This window comes from Homo sapiens, chromosome 17 (assembly GCF_000001405.40).
Source record: "Homo sapiens chromosome 17, GRCh38.p14 Primary Assembly".
Lineage (NCBI taxonomy): Eukaryota > Metazoa > Chordata > Mammalia > Primates > Hominidae > Homo > Homo sapiens.
The window spans coordinates 67,010,382-67,034,484 of NC_000017.11; the positions used below are offsets into that span (position 1 = coordinate 67,010,382).

The 24,103-nt window shown below is 53.6% G+C and overlaps 1 protein-coding gene across 1 annotated transcript in view, besides 2 other annotated features; it reads left to right on the forward strand.

Annotated features, from left to right (window-relative positions):
- CACNG4 (calcium voltage-gated channel auxiliary subunit gamma 4) overlaps nt 1–23,017 on the forward strand; it is a 68,692-nt gene extending 45,675 nt beyond the window's left edge. The window contains exons 2-4 of the mRNA NM_014405.4: nt 7,808–7,891; nt 14,479–14,619; nt 20,085–23,017. Of these exons, the coding sequence (NP_055220.1) occupies nt 7,808–7,891; nt 14,479–14,619; nt 20,085–20,623 (764 nt within the window). The 3' untranslated portion in view covers nt 20,624–23,017. The remainder of the gene's footprint in view (nt 1–7,807; nt 7,892–14,478; nt 14,620–20,084) is intronic.
- Nucleotides 1,624–1,913: an enhancer, noted in NCBI's record as "active region_12617". NCBI's record gives its function as "activates an Ori minimal core promoter by ATAC-STARR-seq in GM12878 lymphoblastoid cells {active_cell/tissue: GM12878}" and the evidence as "EXISTENCE:reporter gene assay evidence [ECO:0000049][PMID:35858748]".
- Nucleotides 18,343–18,543: a silencer, noted in NCBI's record as "peak2947 fragment used in MPRA reporter construct". NCBI's record gives its function as "represses an SCP1 promoter by STARR-seq MPRAs in K562 erythroleukemia cells {active_cell/tissue: K562}" and the evidence as "EXISTENCE:reporter gene assay evidence [ECO:0000049][PMID:32103011]".
- Nucleotides 23,018–24,103: the final 1,086 nt, after the last annotated feature.

A 24,103-nucleotide genomic window follows, 5' to 3' on the forward strand; every position in this document is an offset into this window, starting at 1 on the left:
GAGCTCTGTGTTCTTCTGCCTCCTTGGTGTACGAAGTAGGGGCACAGACTCTGAAGCCAGGCAGCCTGGGTTCAGATCCCAGTTAGGGCACTTAGTAACAAAGGGTGTTAGCCTGTCTACCATATAGGGTTAGCATGAAGATTAAGTTAATAAATGTCAGGTGTTCAAAATAGTGCCTGATACATCATAGGTGCTAAGTACAGTAAATATTTGCTGTCACTCTTATCATGAGGACAGAGCTCTTTCATGCCCCCATCACCTATCAGCCCAGCTAAAGTCCTGTTACCCCTCAGTTCCCCACCTCCTCCATGAAGTCCCAGGCAGGTCATTTCCGGGATGGTCTGCAGCCTCCTGGAAACATAGAGCCCTCCAGTCTTTCTAGGCTGTTCCCTTCCTTCCTGTGGAAATGGGGTGGTGTGGGAGAGGGCCAGGTCCTGAGTAGTTCTGGGAAAACCTTGAGGAGAAGTAGTGATGGCAGATGATTGGCAGGAGGACAGAGAGACACAGGCATGCTCTGAGCTCCTGCAGTGTGCCCCTTTCTGAGACACAGACATGGTCCATTTGGCCCTTGGACCAGGGCTGTTACCTGAGTACAGCTACCCCCTTTCACAGCATACAGTCCAGGGAAACCTCTCCAATTTGGAGTAGTTGGGAGATGGCCACTTTAAATTATGGTAAAGTTCGCATTGCTGGCTCTCTAGAACAATACATGTTGTTTGATTATTTTGCAGTTCCTAAGTTAATTCAACCAAAATTGCCTGGACGCTTGGCCCAGATGTGGTCTTCACCCTCACCGCCTTCTCTGGTCTGTGTGGCCTCAGTAGGTGTTTCTTGCTGGTCCCTGGACTGAGTCTGGGGTTCTTTCCCTCTCCTCTTCTAGTGTTGCCTGGAGAGAGTGGGGATCATGGAGGATGGTCTGAAATCACGTATGTGAGCAGCCCCCGCAGGGGTGTGTGTTCCTGGAAGTGGACTCCACACCTTCATCATCTCAGCTTTGAGCTCAGCCACAATTTTAGGACAAGAGTCCACAGCCTAACACGCCTCAGACCCCTTCCCCTGTCTTCACTCATGGCGCCACCTAAAATGATGCTGATATTCATTTATTTTATCTTCTTGTGTCAACAGCCCGCCTTGCCCTGCTCCACCAGAATGAGAGCTCCGTGAGGGCCAGGACTCCGTCTTACTCAGACTGGCAGCCCCAGCACTTAGAACATTGCTATGGGCTCTGTAAAATGCTCTTGAGGAATGAATGAATGAATGAATGAATGAATGAGTGAGATGAGTAAACAGTGACAATACTGTCGAGCAATGAATGATTGAGTGATGAGCAAACGGTGAAAGTCTGTTGAGAATGAATGAGTGATGCATGAGTGAACAGGAAAGGTCCCACTCAGTATCATCTTCTACTTGCCCTCTTTCCTTCTCTTTCCTTTTTATGCACAGTCGTCCCCTCCTAGATCCTAAAGGGGAGTTGTGCTGCTGGGCCGCCTTCTCCCTGGCTTCCACAGCCCCAGCCAATCCGAGGCTGCCTTCTTTCCCAGGGCCTGGAGACTCCCAATACCCCGCTCTTCATCACCTGACAGCTGTTTCCTTGAAGCTAACCCAGTGCACCTGGTGGCTATCTGGTTTCTCTTCCTTTTCTGTCTTGGGGAGAAAAACCAGCTGGGCCTCACCTCCTGTAGAGCCCCAGCCCTGCTTCTATAGAGGATTCTTGGAAAGGCTGCATTGGGGCGGTGTGGGAGGAGCACTGGACAAGGAATCAAGAGGCTGGATTCCAGGGTGCCCTGTGCAGGGGACCAGGTGTTCCCTGAGCCTCACTTTCCTCTTCTGTCAAATGGAGCAGAGAAGACTTTGTTTTACATTAGGGTAGAATGCCTGATCGTTCTGCTGTGAGCCTTGTGGAAGCAGGTCTTTCAGCATCTCTAAGCCTCTTTCTCCATCTTCAAAGGAGCATTATTGCAGAGATGAAATGGGCTGAAGCATGCAACACGCCCAGCCTTCATCATAGCTTGAGCCCAGGGCTGGCATGCAGGGGGTGTATCTTGGGTGGCCATCCTAGGGACCAGGCATCGGGGAGGGGAGAGCCAATGCAAGGATGTCCTGGGCTGATGATCACCTGGCTTGGTCCTGCTGGGACCCACCCCTTCAGAAGCAGTGTAGAAAGGACTTCAGAACTGCCCACCAAGGGACAGCGTTTGGGGACCTTTATCCACCAGCTCCCATCCCGTCCTCCACTGTTCAAAGGTTTCCCCCAGGGTGGTTAATCCCTCAAACTTCCAGTTGCACGTGCGCGAGTGCAGAGTCGTTCCCTCAGGCAACCTACTCAGTGCTGTGGGCAGAAAGCAAGAAGTAACTGGTGCAGCTGAATTGAGGTGTCAGCAGGCTCCACCTGCACAGAGCTGGTCGCTCGCGGCAGCCATGTGTGGCTGGGGTAAAAGATAGGCCAAGAGGTACGAGGTGGACAGAAGGGTGACCATACACCCTCAGTAGGTGCCTGTGGCAGCTGTGAATGTGAGGATCAAATGAGGTCATGCTTTTGAAAATGCATTGCAAATGACAAAGGATTATATGAATGAGCACCATCAGCAAGTTGCCCTCTGACATGCTTTTCTCCAGGATTCCCTTAATGACGATGGCCTCAGGTGGCCCATATGGAGGCTTAGTGCCCCTGAAATGGCTCACAGGGTGACCAGCTCACCCCGTTTGCCTGGACTCTTCCAATGTTCCTATGTCCCTGGAACCCATCGGGTCCTGGGGGTTGGCCATTCAACTGTACTTGGGGATATGACCCCAAGGCATGACCTTCACGGAGGTCATGGAAGGAGAGGCTCAAATGCTGCCCACACACCCTCTGGCCCCCAGGGTTCACACCTCGCTTCCCAGCTCCCATGTCCAAGTGCATCTGCTGTCATTTCAGACACACCACCTCATTTTCACTCGGAGTCAAAGAATCTGGTCTCTTTTCTTAGTTTTATTGGTTCATTTTCAGATACTGTAGGAAATTCAGAAAACACAGAGGAATGTAAAGAAGAAAAATGTAACTTGCTCATTACTCTATCGCTCAGAAATAAAACACTGGACACATGTGGGGATATTTCTTTCCAGATGCTTCCTGTGCCCATAGAAATATACTTTTAATGAGGCCAGGTGTGATGGCTCACACCCGTAAACCCAGCACTTTGGGAGGCCGAGGCGGGTGGATCACCTGAGGTCAGGAATTCAAGACCAACCTGGCCAACATGATGAAACCCCATCTCTACCAAAAATACAAAAATTAGCCAGGCTTAGTGGCATGCACCTGTAGTCCCGGCTACTTGGGAGGCTGAGGCAGGAGAATTGGTTGAACCCGGGAGGTGGAGGTCGCAGTGAGCCGAGTCCATGCCATTGCGCTCCAACCTGGGTCACAGAGTGAGACTTGTCTCAAAAAAAAAAAAGAAATATTCTTTTAATGAAAGTGTCCCCTGATATGTGCAGATGAAGGGATATACACGTGTGCAGACGAGCCTGTACCTGCTCATGAAGGGGCATGCACACCTGTGCACACACCCCGTGCCTGTTATTTACAAAATAGTCATAGAATCTTCAAGCAGGACCGTCTCCCTCTGGTCCAATTCCTAGGTTTTCTAGATGAAGAAGTAACTTGCCTGAGGCCGAGTGACTAACAAAGTCTCCCGCTAGTGGTCTCCTGGCCCTCAGGAAGGTGAGGGCCACAGTGTCTCTGGGAGCACAGCCCAGCGACCCCTGTCTCCACCTCGCGACCTCAGCATTCCTGCAGCCCAGCCAGCCAGGATCTCACAATTAGCCACCCTAAATATCACTTAATAGATAGCACAGCAAATGGCCCATGTATGGAGAGCGAACACATGTGAAGTGGATTGAAAATGGCTTTCTTTCTTACTCCTTGCATCAGCTATTCATTTTCTCCTTACTAAATGCCCTAGGCCAGCGCTAACGAAATTAAATTTGACAGGGATAAATGTGAAGTCCTTAGCGCCAAGCATTCTACTCCACAAAAACAGATTCGGGGGAGGTGAGGCAACTTTTGTGAAAAAAAAATCCTAGGAGACCGAGTCAACAGCGATACCCAGTCCCATTAACAGAAGCATGGAGTCCAGAGAAGAGAAGAAAGTGCCAATGTGGTTTGAGCTGGTCAGACCCAGCCTGAACGTTGGGTTTGGTGGTGGAGCTGTGCCTCCAGGCACCAAGAGTTGGGAACAAGCCCAGAGGAGGGAGCCAGGGAGAAGGCACTTGAAACCGCCAGTAAAAAAATGGTAGCTGGGCACAGTGGCTCACACCTGTAATCCCAGCACTTTGGGAGGCCACGGTGGGTGGATTGCTTGAGGTCAGAAGTTCAAGACCAGCCTAACCAACATGGTGAAATCCAGTCTCTACTAAAAATACAAAAATTAGCCAGTGGTGGTGGTGCGTGCCTGTAGTCTCAGTTACTTGGGAGGCTGAGGCATGAGAATTGCTTGAACCCAGGAAGCAGAGGTTGCAGTGAGCCGAGATCGCACCACTGCACTCCAGCCTGGGCGACAGAGCGAGACTCCATCTCCAAAAACAAAAAAAAAAAAAAAAGAAAGAAAGAAAGAAATAGCTGAAGGTGTTGACTTAGGATGTTTAGGGGAAATATCCCAGATTCTTGGCTCTAGGGACAGAGAACAATCTCATTCACTCTCCACGGGGCTGAAGACAGCTTGTGCCCTTCTCCACCGCCTCGTTAGTAATAGCTGGAAACAACAGGTGTCCCTCCGTGGGTGAAAGATGAAACAAACAATGCAGCATCCATGCCGCAGAATTCCGCTCAGAAATAACACGGAGCAAACTACCGATACGCATGACAGCTTGGATGAATCCTTAGGGGGTTAGGCTGAGTGAGAACAGCCGGTCCCCAAAGCTTACATGCTGTATCATTCCATTTGTAGGAGAGTCTCAAAATGACAAAACTATTGACATGGAGAACATGTTCCTGGATGCCTTGGGTCAGGGAGGGGACGGGCAGGAGGGCTTGGGTGGGGCTGTGCGAGGGCAGCGTGGGGACTCCTTGCAGTGACCAAGTGTTCTGTATCCTGACTGTCAATGTCAGCGTCCTGGTTGTGATATTGCACTACAGTTTTGCACGATGTTGTCATGGGGAGAAGCTGAGTATAAAGGGTAGGTGTTCCAGTATTATTTCTTACAACTGCATGTGACTCTACAATTATTTCAAGACAAGTGTAATTTTTTTTAAGATGGGCAGAACCCCACGCGTATATACGTGGAAGGGTGTGCCCACGAAGGAGCATCTGAGAAGACACACGGTGGACTTAGCAGCCTGCCGCTGCAGAGCAAATCGGGAAAGAGGGACTCCTTTTTCTTTTTCAACCTCTTATTGCCACTGGTCCCACCATGCATGTGTGACTTGGTGATTTTGCTTAGACCTATGAAGTAGCCCAAAAAAAGGTGTGTGGGGAAGGGGAGGAACAGCAAAGAGCTTGGTCTCACCCACCCACAGCTGGCAAAATGCCTACTCCAGGTCTCCAGGAACATTCTGAGCCTGCCATGGGAGAGCCAGGAGTGAGAGGGGATGTAGCCGGCCCACTCTGGCCTTTGTGTCCCCACCCCACCACCCTGAGGCCAGCCTGTCTTGGAGTTCCTTCCTCTTGCTCACAAACCCTCATGGTTCTCCACCAATTCAGCCACTCATGAAGGAGCGAGGGTGGGTCATTTCTAGATCCAACAGCAGCAACCCCCCAACTCTGAGCCACCACCATGGGCCCGGAATCACCCTAAGTGCCTTTCAAGTATGACGTGGTGTAATTCTCCTAAGATCCCCAGGATATAAGGGCTGTGGCTCTGCCCATTCTACAGATGAGGAGACCGAGGAGTTAATAACTACGTTGTTCATGCTGGATCCTATGCAGAGGACACTCCTAGCATCACCTCTGAGACCCTCCCTCTGCCTCCCCACCATCCTGCCCCCCACCGCTGGCCCCCAGGGCCCATGGACCTTCAGGAATCAGGGTTGTCACTGAACACTCCAGCTCCTTGGAGGCAGCAGCTGAAGGGGCCCAATGGAGGAAAGAGCTTGGGGACGGCAGCTGGTAATCAGCTTCTTGGTGACCAGGTAGAAGGGCAGCGTGCTCCCAGCTCGCCAGGGACCTCTCCTGGTTGGAAGCATGAGAGGTGGACGTGCACCCGGACCCTGCCGCCAGGACTGTGCTCCTGACTGACTGAGGCAACAGGGGGCGCTTGCAGCCGCTGCAGGAAAGGAATTGGCCCCAGGTGGAAACTGCTCCTTTGGTGTCAAGATGAGCTTGTGGCTCCCAGGCTGCAGGAGCAGGGGGGCTGACCCGGGGGAAGGGGTTGTCTGACATGGATAGGACGTGGCGGCAACACCCTGTGCCCCTGGCAACCAATGTCCAGTTCTGTGGTGGCCATTCTCAGACTTCAGGGTAGCAGAGGACTAGGAGAGCAGGGCAGAAGATTCTGGAAGGGAGGATTGGCCTGTCCTACATTACGAAGCTACCCAGGGGTCTGGCCCCCCACCCCATGAGAGCCACTTCTCAGAGTAGGGAGGAAGAAACCAAGCAGATGATGGTCTCAGCCCTTCTGGAAGTTTCTCTTGCTCCATCCTCTCTTCCCTCAACCGCATTGAGTGAGGGGATTGGAATCTGCACCAGCTGTGTACCTGAGGAAGGAGTCACCATAACTGTGGTTTTTTGAGTTTTTTTGAGACAGGGTCTGGCTCTGTTGCCCAGGCTGGAGTGCAGTGATGTGGTCTCAGCTCACCGCAACCTCCACCTCCCAGGCTCAAGTGATCCTCCCACCTCAGCCTCCCGAGTAGCTGGGATTACAAGTGCACCCCACCACATTCAGCTAATTTTTGTACTTTTAGGAGAAATGGGGTTTCACCATATTGCCCAGGCTGGTCTCGAACTCCTGGGCTTAAGCGATCCGCCCTCCTCAGCCTCCCAAAGTGGTGGGATTACAGGCGTGAGCCACTGCATCCGGCCATAACTATGGTTTAAGAGAGGGAAAGACACAGACAGACAGACTTCAACCCCACCCTTGCCTTCACATGTCTTGCTTCTCTGCCTGGAAAGCCCCCTGTGCCCCATTCCCAGTGGGCAAATTCGTTGTTGTTGTTGTTGTTGTTGTTGTTTGTTGTTGTTTGAGACAGAGTCTTGCTCTGTCGCCAGGCTGGAGTGCAGTGGCGCGATCTTGGCTCACTGCAACCTCTGCCTCCCGGGTTCAAGCAATTCTTGTGCCTCAGCCTCCCGAGTAGCTGGGACTATAGGCATTCGCCACCACGGCCAGCTAATTTTTGTATTTTTAGTAGGGACGGGGTTTCACCATGTTGGCCAGGATGGTCTCGATCTTCTGACCTCCTGATCCACCCACCTCGGCCTCCTAAAATGCTGGGATTACAGGCATGAGCCACCGTGCCCAGCCTGTTTTTTATTTTTTTCAAGATGCGGCTAAGAGTCCCTTGGGTAGAGGGATCCGACCTCCTGCTTGCCCCGGGCAGCTCTGCATGGCACCTCTTGTCTCAATGGTTATTCATGCCGGGTCCCATTACTCTCACGTGCGTCCACCCTTGGACCATAACTAGGGTCACCTTTGGGGCATATCTCTCCCGGTGTAGCCATTCTCTGTGTGTCTCTCCCGTGCCCCCACCAGACTGGAACGCTGGAGCCTGCCTTTCTTCTCTGTCTGTCCCCAGGACCTGCACAGAGGCTCACACACATGGCAACCGTGTCTGGAGTGAACGGATGAGTGAACCCAGACAGCATTTACAGTGTTCTTTTCCTCTCGTTCCTTCCAGGGATCTATAAAGGGCACTGCTTCCGGATCAATCACTTCCCAGAGGACAATGACTACGACCACGACAGCTCGGAGTACCTCCTCCGTGAGTGTCAGGAGGCCTGGACTCTCTTTCTGTGGGGAGGCGGAAGGGTGGGGGAAGGCGGCCGGAGGAAAGAGAGACACTGGGCATGGAGAGGGTGATTGTCTTGGGATGGTCCACTCACTGTCTTACTTATTCAGACATTGTGAGTTTGGAGGATGGAGTTTTGCTCATCACTGCCATGACATACTGGGTATCTCAATGCGGTTATTTGGCTGAGAGGCCTGTACCCTGGGGAGATGGGCCTGTGCCCTGGGGAGAGAGACCTGAGCAGAAAGCCTGCTGGGCATGGCAGGCTTCAAAGTTACTGACTGGCTGGAGCTGGGGCTGGAGCAAGGAAGGTTAAAGATATAGGCTCTGCCCAGGCTGGGCCTCCCTGAGGGGTGTGGCTCTCTAAGCACAATGGGGCCTCCCCACCCTCTCCTGCATACTCTCTTCCATTCCAGTCTTGAAAAATCAGATACAGTCACACACCAAGACAGCCTCTTGGGGTGCTGGGAGACCCAGGGGAGAAGGCGAGGAAGGTGCCAGGGAGCAGCCTCTGATATATGGTCCTGAAGTCTTTTCAGCACCGCCTCTGCCCATGGGAGCCCCCACCTGCTCCTGGGTCCAGTGACTGCATGTGGCCCGCAGACTGAAGCCCGGAAGTCACAGCACAAGCTCAATCCCAAATGACAAACCCAGCCCCCACACTAAGTCCAGATCTCATCCCTGGGCCTGTGAATACCTCCCTGGCAGCAGCCAGGGAGGAGCCTGCAAATAGAAAAATTGCACCATTTTGGAGTCATTTTCCCCTTTCACATTAACCAAGACACACAAAGAGCAGCTCACAGCAGCACCCCTGGGGCTCAGACCCAGCCTTGTTGATGGAGAATCAATACCAGCATCCTCAGAGAGAGCACAATTCACTCTGCACCTGCTTATGGATCGTTTTTTCTAAGAGAAAGGATTTTGATTCTGAGTCATCTGGTGAAATAGAACAGCACGCGGTTCCCATAGAGCCTGGGGCAGTGTCAGGCTGCTGCGACCAGGCCCAGAACATGAACTAATTTGGCCACCGCTCTGCCTCCCATCCTTCCTCCCTCACCTCCTCCTCCTCCTGTCTATGCTCTCGTTCTGCTTACCGGGGGCCCACACTGAACCAAGCAAATGAGATTTCCACAGGGCCGCCAGAGATGGTTGTGCAGGTTGCACACTGCACAACTCAAGGGATGTCACCTGCATAAATTATGGTATGAACATCCTTCCAGTTGTACAGTGCACGTCTGCACAACCAGCCACAGAGGCCCTTGGTGCTCAGCCTAGCTGGGATGGCTCAGTTGAAAATCAGCCCCAACTCAGAATCTGCCTTTCTCTGCCCAATCCAGGGCAATCAGGTGGTTCTTAAAGCTCTGGGGGCAGATGTGCCCATGGCCCAACCCTGGGACTGTAAGGAAAGAGGCATTAGAGAAACAAACCGTTCCCTCTCCATTTCCCACTGGAGCTCCCCTGAGGTTATGGGCGTTGGTGCTGGTTGTTCTTTACTCGCCTGTCTCTGTCCCATTCATGGTCCCGGAGTGCTGGGGTCTCTTTATGGATTGGCTTCAAGATGCAGAAGCCCAGAGGTCACCCCACATGGCTTCCCAATCTCCCAGCAGGAAGTAGATGTTACAGTCAAACAGGATGAATGAAGGATGTTTACGGAAGGACTATTTACAAAGGTGCGGGTGAGGTTAAGGGAAACCCACAAGGGCTGGAGAGCACCCCGGGGCCAGCAATAGCCGGGAGCCCTTACCCTCCTCAGCCTGGATAGGTGAGGGGGGCAGGCATGGGAGCCTGGAGGAGGGAGCAGTAGGGACAGGGCTGCCTGGCAGGAGCTGCGGCTGTTGGGAAGCAATGCCACCCCTTCACCTGCAGCTGGGCAGAACTCCCTCGCCGAGACCCTTCTCCAAAAGCCAGAGGCGGAAGCCCGAGGATTTGGTCCACACAGTCAGCTTGGCCCAGGGCAGGATGGAGTGAGGATCTGGAAGAGCAAGAAAAACAAAAACGAGTGAGCTGTTCCAGCTCCTCTGGGGAGGGCGCAAGGCGGGGAGGGCTGCAGAGTGATTTTCCCAGATATAATGATGGTGACAGCACAACCGCAATTAGAGCTCATTGGGGAAGGCCATGTTCTCCTTAAGCGTACGCTGTGGGGAAAGCAGCCAGGTTCATTAACAAGCTCAGAGATGCACATGGAAGAGACAGCTTGACGGCTTTCGGGCCTGTGGTCTCTGCTGCTGGCAGAAGTCAGGGCGGGGTGGGGCTGAACTGACTTCCCAACAGGGAGGTGTTTTTCCACTCGGTGGCTGCAGAAACAGGGATATCTGGCCCTAAAACCAAGCTCTGCATGTGTCTTTGATCATCCTTTTATCTCCAGAGTGCAGGTGCCTGTGAGCTTGAAGCCGGAGGGGCTGAGCAACTTTCAGAGACAGGCCAAGGTCATGATCACCACAGACAACTGGCATGTGTTTCCAGGGCCACCCTGATTTCTAATATTTTGTCTTCTGGTCCCTGTCCAGACTATGGCTCCTCAAAATATGTAGAAGCACAGGAGGGAGGTCTCTGGCGGCTGATATTTGCAAGAAGTGAGGGTTCATGAGAGTTCGTTTATTCATTCATTTAACAAGTTATTGCAGCCAGATGCAGTGGTTCACTCCTGTAATCCCAGCACTTTGAGAGGCCAAGGCGTGAAGATCGCTTGAGGTTAGGAGTTCCAGCTTGGTCAACATAGTGAGACCTCATCTTTACAAAAAATAAAAATAAATTAGCCAGAAGTGATGGCACATGCCTCCAGTCCCAGCTATTCAGGAGGCTAAGGTGGGCGGATCATTTGAGCCGAGGAAGTTGAGGCTGCAGTGAGCCACGATCGTGCCACTGCACTCCAGCCTGCATGACAGAGCAAGACCCCATCTTAAAAAAAAAAAAAAAGTTATTGTGGGCCTGCTATGTACCAGGCACTGTATTAGACATGTGGAGTACAGCAGCAAAGAAAACAGGGCTCTGCCTCCGGGTGGAGAATGGGTGTTTTGGAGAAGGCAGCAGAAGCTTCCATGGTGGGGCTGCCTGCAGGATGCCTGTTTCAGGCCAGCTCATCTGCGTGGGCGTGGAGCACCAACCCTGGTAGATCCAAGGCTGCGCTGCTCCCACCCAGTCTTTGACAATTCAAGAAGGAACTCCGCCCCGAGCCATGCTTTCTGAAGCCTTCCACAGAAGCTGGGCTTGTGTTGTTTGTTGCAGAGCCCCCTGAAGGCCTCTGAGCTCTTACGATGTCACTGCTGATTTGCAGGTTCACAGCCCAAGATTTGAGGGGGTCACCACCCCACATCCTGCCTACCTTCTCTTCCACAGGCTCTGCTGGTCCCAGGGCTTCCTGCCCACCTTGCCCTGGGCCTGGTGCCCCTCTCCAAGTCTGCATTTCCAGTTAGGTGGATAACTTCTGTGCCAGGCCGCAGGGGGCTGGTGTCAGGGCTGCTGGGAGTCCACAGTGTGCCCGGGGGTGAGTTAGAAGGAAGTGTCTTGTCTCCTGGCAGATGCAGATCCTCTGCCAGGGCTTGATATGGCCAGCAGGGCACGGGCTGGACTTCAGCCTCACTCATCCCTCCACCCCTTAGCCACCTGCGCTGTGCCCGACCTGCACCACTGTCCGTGGCAATCCCAGCTGGCATCTGCACATCCACAGCTCAGGAATGAGTCTGTGTGGCAAGGCATAGGTGCTTGTGTGACTTATCTGGGCAGGATGGATGGCTCTGAGCCAAGCCTGGGCATCCAGTGATCTTAGAGCAACTGGGCTTTTTTTTTTTTTTTTTAAGACGGAGTCTCGCTCTGCTGCCTAGGCTGGAGTGCAGTGGCGCGATCTTGGCTCACTGTAACCTCTGCTCCCGGGTTCAGGCGATTCTTGTGCCTCAGCCTCCTGAATCGCTGGGATTACAGGCACTCGCCACTATACCCAGCTGATTTTTCTATTTTTAGTGGAGACTGGGTTTCACAATGTTGGCCAGGCTGGTCTCAAACTCCTGACCTCAAGTGATCCACTCACCTCGGGCTCCCAAAGTGCTGGATGGACTTCCTTCTTTCGGATTCCTCTGACCTGTCTGCAGAACGAGGGCATTGAGGGGATGACTGACCTCAACTTTTCTGGCCAGCACAGCTCAGAGGCACATTTCAGAAACACAGGAAACTTCATCCCAGAGCCCGCTGCTGCCAGAAGGCAGAGAGGAATCGGAGAGGAGGAGGCACCGGAGAGAAGAACTGCATTTAATGCCCCCAGACAATCTCCTCTCTGTGAAGCAGGGACACACACTGATGCGTTCACAAAAAAGGAGACAAACCCTGCCTTCAGAGGAGAGGCTGACAGCCCTGAAACCCGCTCAGCTGGCTGGGGAGGGTGGCGCCTGCCAGTGCGGCCCGACTCACTGTCCCCTGCGGGGGCCACCAAGGGTCCATGCAGCCGAGATTTCTACGGGGCTGGGAGACAGCAGGTGCTTGGGAAAGGCCGAGCTCTGGGCTTTCCTTTCCCAAGCCTTGCTTCCCTCCCTCTCGCCTTCCTCCCAGCCCAGATGCTAAGGGAGGGGCACCCTAAGCCCCTACTGGGTGCTTGACATTTTCTCACAGTAACCCTCCAATGGGGCATGTTCATCTCCCAAGGCCATTGTAACAAATGATCAAAACTGCGTGACCTGCAACAGAAATTCACTGTCATGGTGTGGAAGCCAGAAGCCCGAAGTCAAGGTGTTGGGGGACCCTGCTTTCTCTGAAGGCTCTAGGAGAGGACCATTCCTCTCCCAGCTTTGGAGGTGGTTGGCACTCCTTGGCCCATGGCAGCAGCATTGGGTCTCTGCCTCCGTCTTCACAGCCCCTTCTCCCCTGTGTCTTCTCCTAAGGTTCTTATAAGGATGCTCGTCGTTGGATCTAGGGCCCACCGGATTCATCCTGGATGATCTCAGCTTGAGATTCTTAACTGAGTCACATCTGCAAGACCTCTTCTTTTTTTTTTTTTTTTTTTTTTTGAGACAGAGTCTCGCTCTGTCACCCAGGCTGGAGTGCAGTGGCGCGATCTTGGCTCACTGCAAGCTCCGCCTCCCGGGTTCACGCCATTCTCCTGCCTCAGCCTCCCAAGTAGCTGGGACTACAGGCACTGGCTACAACGCCCGGCTAATTTTTTGTATTTTTCCTAGAGATAGGATTTCACCATGCTAGCCAGAATGGTCTCAATCTCCTGACCTCGTGATCCACCTGCCTCAGCCTCCCAAAGTGCTGGGATTACAGGCGTGAGCCACCGCGCCCAGCCCTTTTTTTTTTTTTAAGACAGAATGTCACTCTTGTCGCCCAGGCTGGAGTGCAATGGCGCAATCTCAGCTCACTGCAACCTCCACCTCTGGGGTTCGAGAGATTCTCCTGCCTCAGCTTCCCAAGTAGCTGGGATTACAGGAGCCCACCACCATGCCCGGCTAATTTTTTTTGTTTGTTTTTAGTAGATACGGGGTTTCACCATGTTGGCCAGGCTGGTCTCGAACTCCTGACCTCAGGTGATCTGCCTGCCTTGGCCTCCCAAAGTGCTGGGATTACAGGCATGAGCCACTGCGCCTGGCCAAGGCCCTTTTTCCAAATAAGATCAATTACAGGTCCTAAGGGTTAGGACACAGGTATATTCTAGGGAGGCTGCAATTCAACTCCCTACAGGTAGATGTTACTATTCCCAAGTTATAAAAGGGGACTGAGGTGGTCACCAAAGTCAGCTGTCCCCGGTCAGCTAATCAGTGGCAGAGCGAGGTTAGTCAGTGGCAGAGCCCTGGTGTCAGGGCTACAAAGTTGGTTCTGTGGACACTGTGGGTCACGAGCATCCCTCTCGGCCCAGCCACACCTCCCCTGCGACTTCAGGCCGGTTTTGAGGTCCCACATCCTTGTCTATCACCTAGGGGCTGATGATGATGATGATGATCAAGGTATAGAATGGCCAGGCCCAGTGCTATGCACCTTACATGTACAAAACCAAGCACATGTGTAGGACACTGGTGCTATGAGGAACCTCATTCCACAGATGGGAAGCTGAGTTTTGGAGAGGGAAAGTGACTTGGCCAAGGCTACACAGCCAGCATGCCACAGCAGGGCCCACGCCCAGACCCACCTAATGCCGATGCGTGTGCTCTCAACCACTGACCAGGGCCACCCTTTGTGGACACTGCTTCCCAGCCTTCCAGGGGCTTCACGGAGACTGCGTTCATGCAAGGGCTTAGGGGGCTGTGCAGTGCCACAAAAATGTGATGCGGTTTGTTGCTTTCATGGCTGTTACTCTGGTCTCCCTGGTGCCCACTCCCAGGGAGAGACTAAACAAGAGGTAGACAGATGTGACTCCAGGGTGAAGGGCAGGCCCGGAGCCCCCACTTGCATCTGATCCAATGGCCCTGAGCCTCCCCAGGCACTGGCCCACCTCGAGTCTCCAGGTCCTGATGGGAATCTCAAATCCTGGGGAAGGGCCTGGAGCTGCAAGGTTCCTGGGAGACATACGCAGCCATGCCCGGGAGGGCACCTGATCTCACTGCCCTCTGCTTTGTGCCCCCCACCTCCCCGGCCAGGCATCGTGCGAGCCTCCAGCGTCTTCCCCATCCTCAGCACCATCCTGCTCCTGCTGGGTGGCCTGTGCATCGGTGCTGGCAGGATCTACAGCCGCAAGAACAACATCGTCCTCAGTGCCGGCATCCTCTTCGTGGCTGCAGGTGAGCCGCCCGCCCGGGCTGGTGCTGGGCCGGGAGCTGGGGACACAGGAGTGCCTGTCTCGTGTGGTCCCCACTGCCAGGCAGTGTGCATCCTAGAGGGGAATGCAGACATAACATCGCCACATGCAACTGACTTGTAAAGTCCCAATGTTCAGGACTGGGGGTGGATGGAGAATGGGGAGCAGCTGCCAAACAGAGCTTCCTTTTGGGGTGACAGAAATGTTTTGGATGCTTGCACAACATTTTGAATGCGCCAAAAGCCACTGGATTGTGCCCTTCAAAAGGGTTACTTTTATCTTGCATGAATTTCACCTCAACCGGAAAATAAGTCCAGGTGTGCAAAGTGGTGGGTGGGGTTCAGCTGGCAGTTTTACAAGCCTGTGACAGGAGCCTGGCTGGGTCAGGCGGTCAGGGAGGTGCCCACGGGAATCATGCCAAAACTCGAAGGAGTTGGCCAGGTAAAGACAGGGCGAGGGCCCGGAATGGGCATGAGTGGCCGTCTTGCAGAGGAAGCAGAAGTCCAGGGTGCCCTGGGAAGAGTGAGCGGGGAAGCTCGGCAGAGCAGGCGGCCCCCGCCCATCCCGACTGCCCCAACCCTCCTGGCTACAAGAAGGCAGCAGCACCTCAGAGCCATGCCCGATGTCCCCGGAAAGTGCCATCGGGGAATAGCCACAGAGCTGTGGGTGACAGTGACATGCCACCTTGGCTGAAGATGGGCAGGCCTGGCGTGGTGCCGCACACGTGGGCCTCCCAGAGCACCCTTGTCCTGTCCTGCATTCCCTCGCCCTTTCTCCTGGAGAGGGTAGATGACTTCCGTTCACATCCTGGGACCCGCAGCCACTGCAGCCTTAGAGGGGCTGGCTCCAGCTCTGCAGCCGCCATTGGGGAGCCAAGGTGCCGGGCCCCGGTTCTACACCATTCCAGCATCTGTTTCCTTCCAGCGCAATAAATAGACGTGTGTGTGGAGTGCGTGCATCTGCGAGTGATCTGTGGGGCCTGTACATGTGTCAGGAGTGTGGTGTGTGTATGTGTTTGAGAACTGTGATTGTGTGTGTGGTGTATGTGTGTGTTTGAGGACTGTGGTGTGTTTGTGTGTGTGAAGAGTGTGGGATGTGTGTGTGTATTTGAGGACTGTGGTGTGTTTGTGTGTGTGAGGAGTGTGGTGTGTTTGTGTGTGAGGAGTGTGGTGTGTGTGTTTGAGGACTGTGGTGTGTTTGTGTGTGTGAAGAGTGTGGTGTGTATATTTGGGGACTATGGTGTTTGTGTGTGCGAGGAGTGTGGTGTGTTTGTGCGTGTTAAGAGTGTGGTGTGTGTGTGTATTTGAGGACTGGTGGGTTTGTGTGTGTGAGCATGGTGTGTGTGTATTTGAGGAATGTGGTGTGTGTGTGTATTTGAGGACTGGTGGGTTTGTGTGTGTGAGCATGGTGTGTGTGTATTTGAGGAATGTGGTGTATGTGTGTGTATTTGAGGACTGTGGGGTGTGTCTGTATTTGAGGAATGTGGTGTATGTGTGTGTATTTGAGGACTGTGGGGTGTGTATGTATTTGAGGACTGTGGTGTGTGTGTGAGGACTATGGTGTGTGTGTGTGTCTGAGGAGTGTGGTGTGTGTATTTGAGGACTGTGGTGTGTGTGTGTCTGAGACGTGTAGTGTGCGTGTGTGTATTTGAGGACTGTGGTGTGTGTGTGTGAGGACTATGGTATATGTGTGTCTGAGGAGTGTGTGTTGAGGACTGTGGTGTGTTTGTGTGTGTGAGGACTATGGTGTGTGTGAGGAGTGTGGTGTGTGTGTGCACATGTGTGTGTGTTGGGAAGAGGAGCCTGTGTTGAGGGTCTCCTGGGAGAAGCATGAACCTCCCTCCTGGACAGGTCCCCCCGCCCTTCCCTTCTTCCCCCCACCTCCTTTCTCTCTCTCCTGCCCCAGTGCCCGCCACCTGCTCCTTGAAGCAGTCATTTTTCAAAAGGTGTGAGCCGTTTAGGAGGTCCCGGCTGTGACCCCTCAACACTGCCCCAGAGCGTCCTCCCCACGGCAGGGAGAGAATACTCCAGTCACATCAGAAACCACAGTGGCCATGCCAGCGCTCTGTGAGCCCAACCCCACCATCCCTGCTCCTGCGGAGGAGGCACACAGGCGGTCCAGCAGCTCAGGTGGCTTCCTTGAAGTCACACGCACAGTGGCAAAGACATGCTGTGCCCAGGGCTGCCAGCCTCCAAAGCCCTTCGAGGTGCCCCCTGCAGCTGCCCGTGCCCCCAGGAGGAGCCGTTTCAAAGGCAGGCCCAGATGCTTGGTGCCACCAGAGGGACTTGGAGCCTGGACCCAGAGCCCTAGCCGAAGAAAATGAGTCCAGGCAGAGAAGGTGGCCGCGGCTGGCTGCAAGGAAGCAATGGGGAGGCCAGCAAGGGGACATTGGCTTATTCCCTGGCGCATGGGGCACTGATGGGGACTGAGCAGGGCAGCAGGCACTGAGTCATGTGTGGGGCCTGGCTTCAGGCCACCAGCCCTAGCAGGGAGGTCTGACAGGCTCTTAAAGAACTCGAGGTGGAAAATGGTAGGTGCCACAGGAGAGGGACAGTTTCCAAGGCTGGGAAAGTCAGAAGAAGACACAAGACTTCTCTGGGAAACTGGAATTCATGGAGTTGTTATTTAAGAAACCCTTTTCCAACTCGTGCTGAATACAGAGAGGGGAAGAAAACACAAAGCTAGGGAAGCAGCAAGAGAGAGATCAGAGGGGAGACAGGTGAACTAGCGGTGGCTCATGCCTGTAATCCCAGCATTTTGGGAGGCCGAGGCAGGCGGATCACTGGAGGTCAGGAGTTCGAGACCAGCCTGGCCAACATGGTGAAACCCTGTCTCTACCAAAAAATACAAAAATTAGCTGGGTTTGGTGGCAGGTGCCTGTAATCCCAGCTACTTGGGAGTCTGAGGCACGAGAATCACCTGAACCTGGGAGGCGGAGGTTGCAATGAGCTGAGATCACGCCACTGCACTCCAGCCTGGGCGACAGAGCAAGACTCTGTCTCAAAAAAAATAAATAAATAAAAAGCGAACTAGTAGGGTAAAAAAAAACCATGTTGGAAAGGGTTCTTACAGAACACAACAGAAGAGACAAGGAGTTGAAACCCAGGACTGGTGTGCTCAGGGCAGGACTGCTGGACCCCTTAGCAGAAGATATTCTAACCCTTCCACACAGGGTGGGTGCCACAGAGAATGGACAGAGGACGTGGACGGTGCAGAGACAAACACAACACAGCACTTTATGATAAAACGCAATGGGCCGGGCACGGTGGCTCACGCCTGTAATCCCAGCACTTTGGGAGGCTGAGGCGGGCGGATCACAAGCTCAGGAGATCGAGACCATTCTGGCTAACACGGTGAAACCCCGTCTCTACTAAAAATACAAAGAATTAGCTGGGCATGGTGGCGGGTGCCTGTAGTCCCAGCTACTCAGGAGGCTGAGGCAGGAGAATGGCGTGAACCCGGGAGGCGGAGCTTGCAGTGAGCCAAGATCGCGCCACTGCACTCCAGCCTGGGGGACAGAGCGAGACTCCGTCTCAAAAAAGAAAAACAAAAACAGAAAAAAAACGCAATGGATGGTAATTGAACTTACGTCAGGCGCCCTGTGTGCTGGGTGCTGTTGTGAGCACTTTGTATATATCAGCTCATTTAATCCTCACACCAGCCCAGTGAGGTGTGGACCACAGTTACTCCCACTTTACAGATGAGACTGACGCATAAGGAGTGGGAGTAATTTGCCAAAAGTCACACACTGGTATTTGGTAGAACCAGAACTCAAACCCCACCAGTGTGGCTCTGTTCAACCTCCCTTAGAATAAGAGAGAATTGGATAAACACAACAATGGCTATTTTTCACTTCCCATATTGGCAAAGAACCAGAAGTCTGATAATATTCATGATAGGCTGTTGGGACATTTGTACCCTTACAGAGGGCACTTAGTGACTAAATTTAAAACACTAAATGCAATGTAATATCCTGAATCCATCCAGGGACAGAGAAAGGACATTAGTACAAACCCAGTAAAATCCAAGTAAAGGCTGGGCGTGGTGGCTCACACCTATTATCCCAGCACTTTGGGAGGCTGAGGCAGGTGGATCACGTAAGGTCCCGAGTTTGAGACCAGCCTAGCCACATGGTGAAACCCTGTCTCTACTAAAAATACAAAAATTACCCAGGCATGGTGGTGCGTGCCTGTAATCTCAGCTACTCAAGAGGCTGAGGCAGGAGAATCGCTTGAACCCAGGAGGCGGAGGTTGCAGTGAGCGGAGATCGTGCCACTGCACTCAGCCTGGGCAGCAGACTGAGACTGAGCCTCTGTCTCAAAAAACAAACGAGGCCGGGTGTGGTGGCTCACGCCTGTAATCCCAGCCCTTTGGGAGGCCGAGGCAGGTGGATCATGAGGCCAGGGGTTCAAGACCAGCCTGACTAACGTGATAAAATCCCGTCTCTACTAAAAATACAAAAAAAAATTGGCTGGGTGTGGTGGCGGGCGCCTGTAATCCCAGCTACTCAGGAGGCTGAGGCGGGAGAATTGCTTGAACCCGGGAGGCGGAGGTTGCAGTGAGCCGAGATCGCGCCACTGCACTCCAACCTGGGCGACAGAGCGAGACTCTGGCTCCAAAAAACAAACAAACAAACAAACAAAAACAAACAAATCCATGTAAAGTCTGAAGTAATGTACCAGGTTGTTTTCTTTGTGGCGGCGAATGTTCCACATAACGTAAAATGTTAACATTAGGGAGAGCTGGATGAGGAGTATATGAAACTCTCTGGACCTGGCTACTGTGCGGTAAATCAAAAATTATTCCCAAACAAAAATGTATTTTAAGTGTTTCAATGCACATGGCCCAGCAGTTTCACTGCAAGGAATGCACCCCGTGGTTGTACCCATGTGCACATGTGAGGCTGTAGACACAAGGGTGTCCAAGGCAACCTTGTCACAGCAGAGGGCAGGGAGCACCCAGACATCTCCCGTAAAGGCCTGGTTAGGTGGGTCGTGAGACTTCTGTATGGCGGTGCCGCACGTAGTTAGAAAGACAGGGATGGCTCTCCATGTTCTGATTCAGAACCGTCTCTCAGATGTACTGTTAAGAGAAAAACTAAGCAGCCAGAGTACTGTGCAAAGGAAATAATAGGGGTGTGTGTGTGTGTGTGTGTGAAGAGAGAAATTTTTTTTCTGGAAGGACATACGAAAGAAGACAACAGTAGTTGCCTTAAAGAGGGGAACTGGGGGCTGAGAGTGTGTTTTATTGTATACCTCATTTGAACTTTGTACTCTATTACCCATTCAACATTAATTACTGAAAAGAAAAATTAGCAACCAGAATAAAGAAATACTCATCAGAGAGGGGAGTGTCCACCTGTTCCCTACACTGCCCGTCCCACTGTGGGTCTAACCTCTGCCTCTCTCCCTCCCTGGCCCCGCTCCCCGCTCCCCGCTTCCCTTTCAGGCCTCAGTAACATCATCGGTATCATCGTCTACATTTCCAGCAACACAGGTGACCCGAGTGACAAGCGGGACGAAGACAAAAAGAACCATTACAACTACGGCTGGTCTTTTTACTTTGGAGCTCTGTCTTTCATTGTGGCTGAGACCGTGGGCGTCCTGGCTGTAAACATTTACATTGAGAAAAATAAAGAGTTGAGGTTTAAGACCAAACGGGAATTCCTTAAGGCGTCTTCCTCTTCTCCTTATGCCAGGATGCCGAGCTACAGGTACCGGCGACGGCGCTCGAGGTCCAGCTCAAGGTCCACCGAGGCCTCGCCCTCCAGGGACGTGTCGCCCATGGGCCTGAAGATCACAGGGGCCATCCCCATGGGGGAGCTGTCCATGTACACGCTGTCCAGGGAGCCCCTCAAGGTGACCACCGCAGCCAGCTACAGCCCCGACCAGGAGGCCAGCTTCCTGCAGGTGCATGACTTTTTCCAGCAGGACCTGAAGGAAGGTTTCCACGTCAGCATGCTGAACCGACGGACGACCCCTGTGTGAGCCGCCTGCCCTTTCTCTCCGCTCCAGCCTCTCCCCAGAACGGCTCTTTTTGTCACACAGGATGGCATGTGATCCTCAAGACGACGAACAATGAACTAAAGCCAAATGCAGCCCTCCCTGGCCTCCAGAGGTGGCGTGGGCTGGCTTTGCACGAAGGTTGTGCTGGGAGACCGGACCCGGGGCTGCAGAAGAAGCTGAAGGCTGACTTTGTCCCCTCCCCGAAAAAGGGTGTTTTGATGCCTCAGGGTCTCTGAAATCTCCCGGGAAGCCCCAGAGCTTTCCTGAGGCTGCCTGGCCTTGATCAACTTGGGAAGACAAAATTGAGCCATTATCTCCTCTTGGAAACGAATCTTGCCAGAAAAACGGGATTTCAGGGCCTTCCCTCCCTGCCTGGGTGTCGGGCCACCAGAAGGCTCTGCCGGACGCCAAGAAGACGGTCTCTGGGCTCTTGTCAGCTGCTTTTGAACCTGAGGTTCCTGCGTCGTTGAGCCAGAAATCAGACCACCGAAGCTCACTCCCTTCCTCTCCATCTCTCCCTCTCTCCAAGACTCTGGCAGTGGCCTATGATCCTGAAGACAGCTCTGCAGCCAACTGGTGCTTTGGCCTTTGCGCTGTCCCGGGGCCAGCTTCCCTCGACCTGGGGAGGCCGTGGCCTGTGGAGGAGGCCCAGGTAAAGGCTGGGGGCTGTTGCTGGCTATCCTCTTTGCTTCTGGAAGTTTCTGCCTCACTCAGAATGGGCAGGACAGACCCACTGACTGGACTTCAGAGTCTGGAGGGTTCCATCGGTCAGGGGAATGGCGGCCACGTGACCTCTTGCCGTGCCCCTTGTCATAGACCCAAGGAGCAACTCTGTCCCCTGAGCGTTGGGGGTCCCGGGGGAGAGGTGGACAGACACCTCCCTCCAACTGGCATTTGGCAACAGGAGCCTGGACTTCTGTGCAAGAAAGGGAGACCTAAGGGTGAACAGTGGCCAATAAAAACCCTAGAGAACAAACATCCATTTCCTAGGTGGTTACAAATCATAACTTCCTGCAAATCAACGCCAGGAGAGCAACTTACCTTCATTTCTTTGTCTTAAAAAGTAGCAGCAACTGGCCCCACAACTCCTGTCATTGTAAGTTATTCTGCCACCACCTAACAGGACGGAGTGGAGTGAGTTTGGATAAACGGACCGAGCTGGGCTTCTCTTCCTCCCTACAGAGGGGAGATCTCAGCACTTTGTCCGGAGCTGAGGAAGTGGTTTCTGTGTTTTACAGTTTTTCCAGCCATTCTTTTCTTCCCCCTCCTGAAGCAAGCAAAGAGCGTGGAGGCGTGTGCAGGCTTGGAAGAAGAACTCTCCAGAACATGGAACTTAACCCTCTTTTGTATAAAACATGTGCTTTCTAAAGAAAAATTGTTTCTTATTTTTTGAGACTCCTTGATCCACCCTGGAACAGTCGCCTGTAGTCCTGGTAGCTGTTGTGCTTGGAAATAACGAGCGCATCCTTGCCTCAGCTACCTGCTCACAGCCCATGGGTGGACTCGGCCCCCTGGGGTTCAGACCCAGGTCCGTTCGGCCTAGTGATGATGTCATCGTCCATCCCATCTTCCTTTGCCCCCAGGAAAGGACGCATCCACCGGTAGCGGCCCCAGCTGACTGTCGCCGTGTGCTGGGGATCTGAAATGAGGCCTGCCAGGGCCCCTGTGTGCTGTGCTCCAGAGCCTTCGCTCCCATCAGGGTTGGCATCATCTGATGGCATGTCCAAGTGTGCCCAGCAGCGGATGCTGAAGCACCAGAGCTCAAGGCCTTCACCTGCTCTAGGCCAGCCCTGTCACCACCTCCACTGCCATGACCAGGCCGAAGGCAGGGAACGCCCTCCCCAGTCCCGCTGTCCAGCAAGGCCCCGAGACTTTTCTTCTGTGATTTCCAAAAGCAAGGCAGCCGTGCTGTTCTAGTTCCTCTCCATCCGCCACCTCCCCTCCCGCTGCCCCAGAAGTTTCTATCATTCCATGGAGAAAGCTGTGTTCCAATGAATCCTACCTCTTGCCCAGTCCCAGGCAGAGTAAGCAGGGCCCACCTAGGGACCAAGAAAGAGTAGGAAGAAGGGGACGAGCCGGGAGCAAAACCACCTCAGACACCCGGGCCTTCTCAGCCTTCTCCCCGCGGCCAGCTGGGTCTCCGGGGACCCTGGGCCCTGGGCCGCCCATTCCTGGCCCTCCCGCTGCATCTCAGACCTGACACCCAACGGGGGGATGTGGTGGCCTGTGCCCACCTTCTCTCCCTCCTCCCGACCCGCCCCCTCGCCCCCACCCCTGTGTGTTTCGCCAGTTAAGCACCTGTGACTCCAGTACCTACTACTGGTTTTGGGTTGGTTGTTCTGTCTTTTTTTTAATTAAATAAAAACATTTTTAAAATGTTCTCTTCTTGATGTGGGGAGGCAGGGGAAGAGCCCCCCATTAGTCTTTGTGGGCAGTTAGGGTAAATAGATGTCCCTGGGTCTGGGGTACGCTGTGCCCCTCCCCCGCAACCCCCCGCCGCCAGAAAAGAAGAAGGAGGCCCAGGGGGCAGGGAGGCCAGGCTCTGGCCAAGGCCGGGTTTTCTGGCTTTTATCTGGGTCACTGGCCACCTCCCCAGTACCAACGGCTGGTTTCAAACTTCTGGGTGGTGTCATTGAGGTGGCTTTTCACCAATGAGCCAGAAGATACACAGGCTCTTCTGGGTGGGGTGTGGGCCCCTGGGCAGCCAAGAGAGCAAGGCCTGTCCTCCCGCAGGGTGGAGGCCGGCCGGAGCCACAGCCGCCAAGGCCCTAAAGTTGCCCTCACCCAAGGACACTGCGTCCTCCCTGGTGAAAGCTGCCCGTTCTGTAGAGGTTCTCTGCCCAGGTTCCCAATATAGCACTCCCGGCAGCCCAGCCCCAGACTCAGTCCCAAGAGATACACAGATGGGAAGGGAGAAAGGATCTGAGGGACCTTAGACTCCAGGGACTGGCCGGGGCAGACACACCTGAGACAGGTATTTTTTAACTTGCAGCTTGCAACAAAACAGCTGGTGCAATCTCAGGAATAGAAGTCAACGATAACAGATGGTTATGAACTCATGTCCTTGCACTTGGAATTGCAGTCAAGGAGAGTTGGTGGTGGCGGTTGGGGGGATGCTGACACCTGCAAACCATCACTCCTCCACCCTCCTGGGGCAAAGTTTTCTCCTCTGAGGGTCTAAGTTGGCCATCCTGAGCCCTTTCTCAACCCCATCATCTCCCCAGCTCCTTCCTGGCCTCTCCCTGACTTTCATCAAAGACTTCACTTTGGCTAAAGCCTTCCTCTGTACCCCAAATACTGCCGCCATCACAACACATCGATGTCCATGGGGCCAACCACTCTGACTTCCTGACCACACAGTTCTCTGGTCTTCTCACCTCCATTGACTTTTATCTCCAACCTTGACCTTGTCATCACCCCTAACTGTCCCAGTGTAATCTTCAGGGCCATCATTCTCCTCTC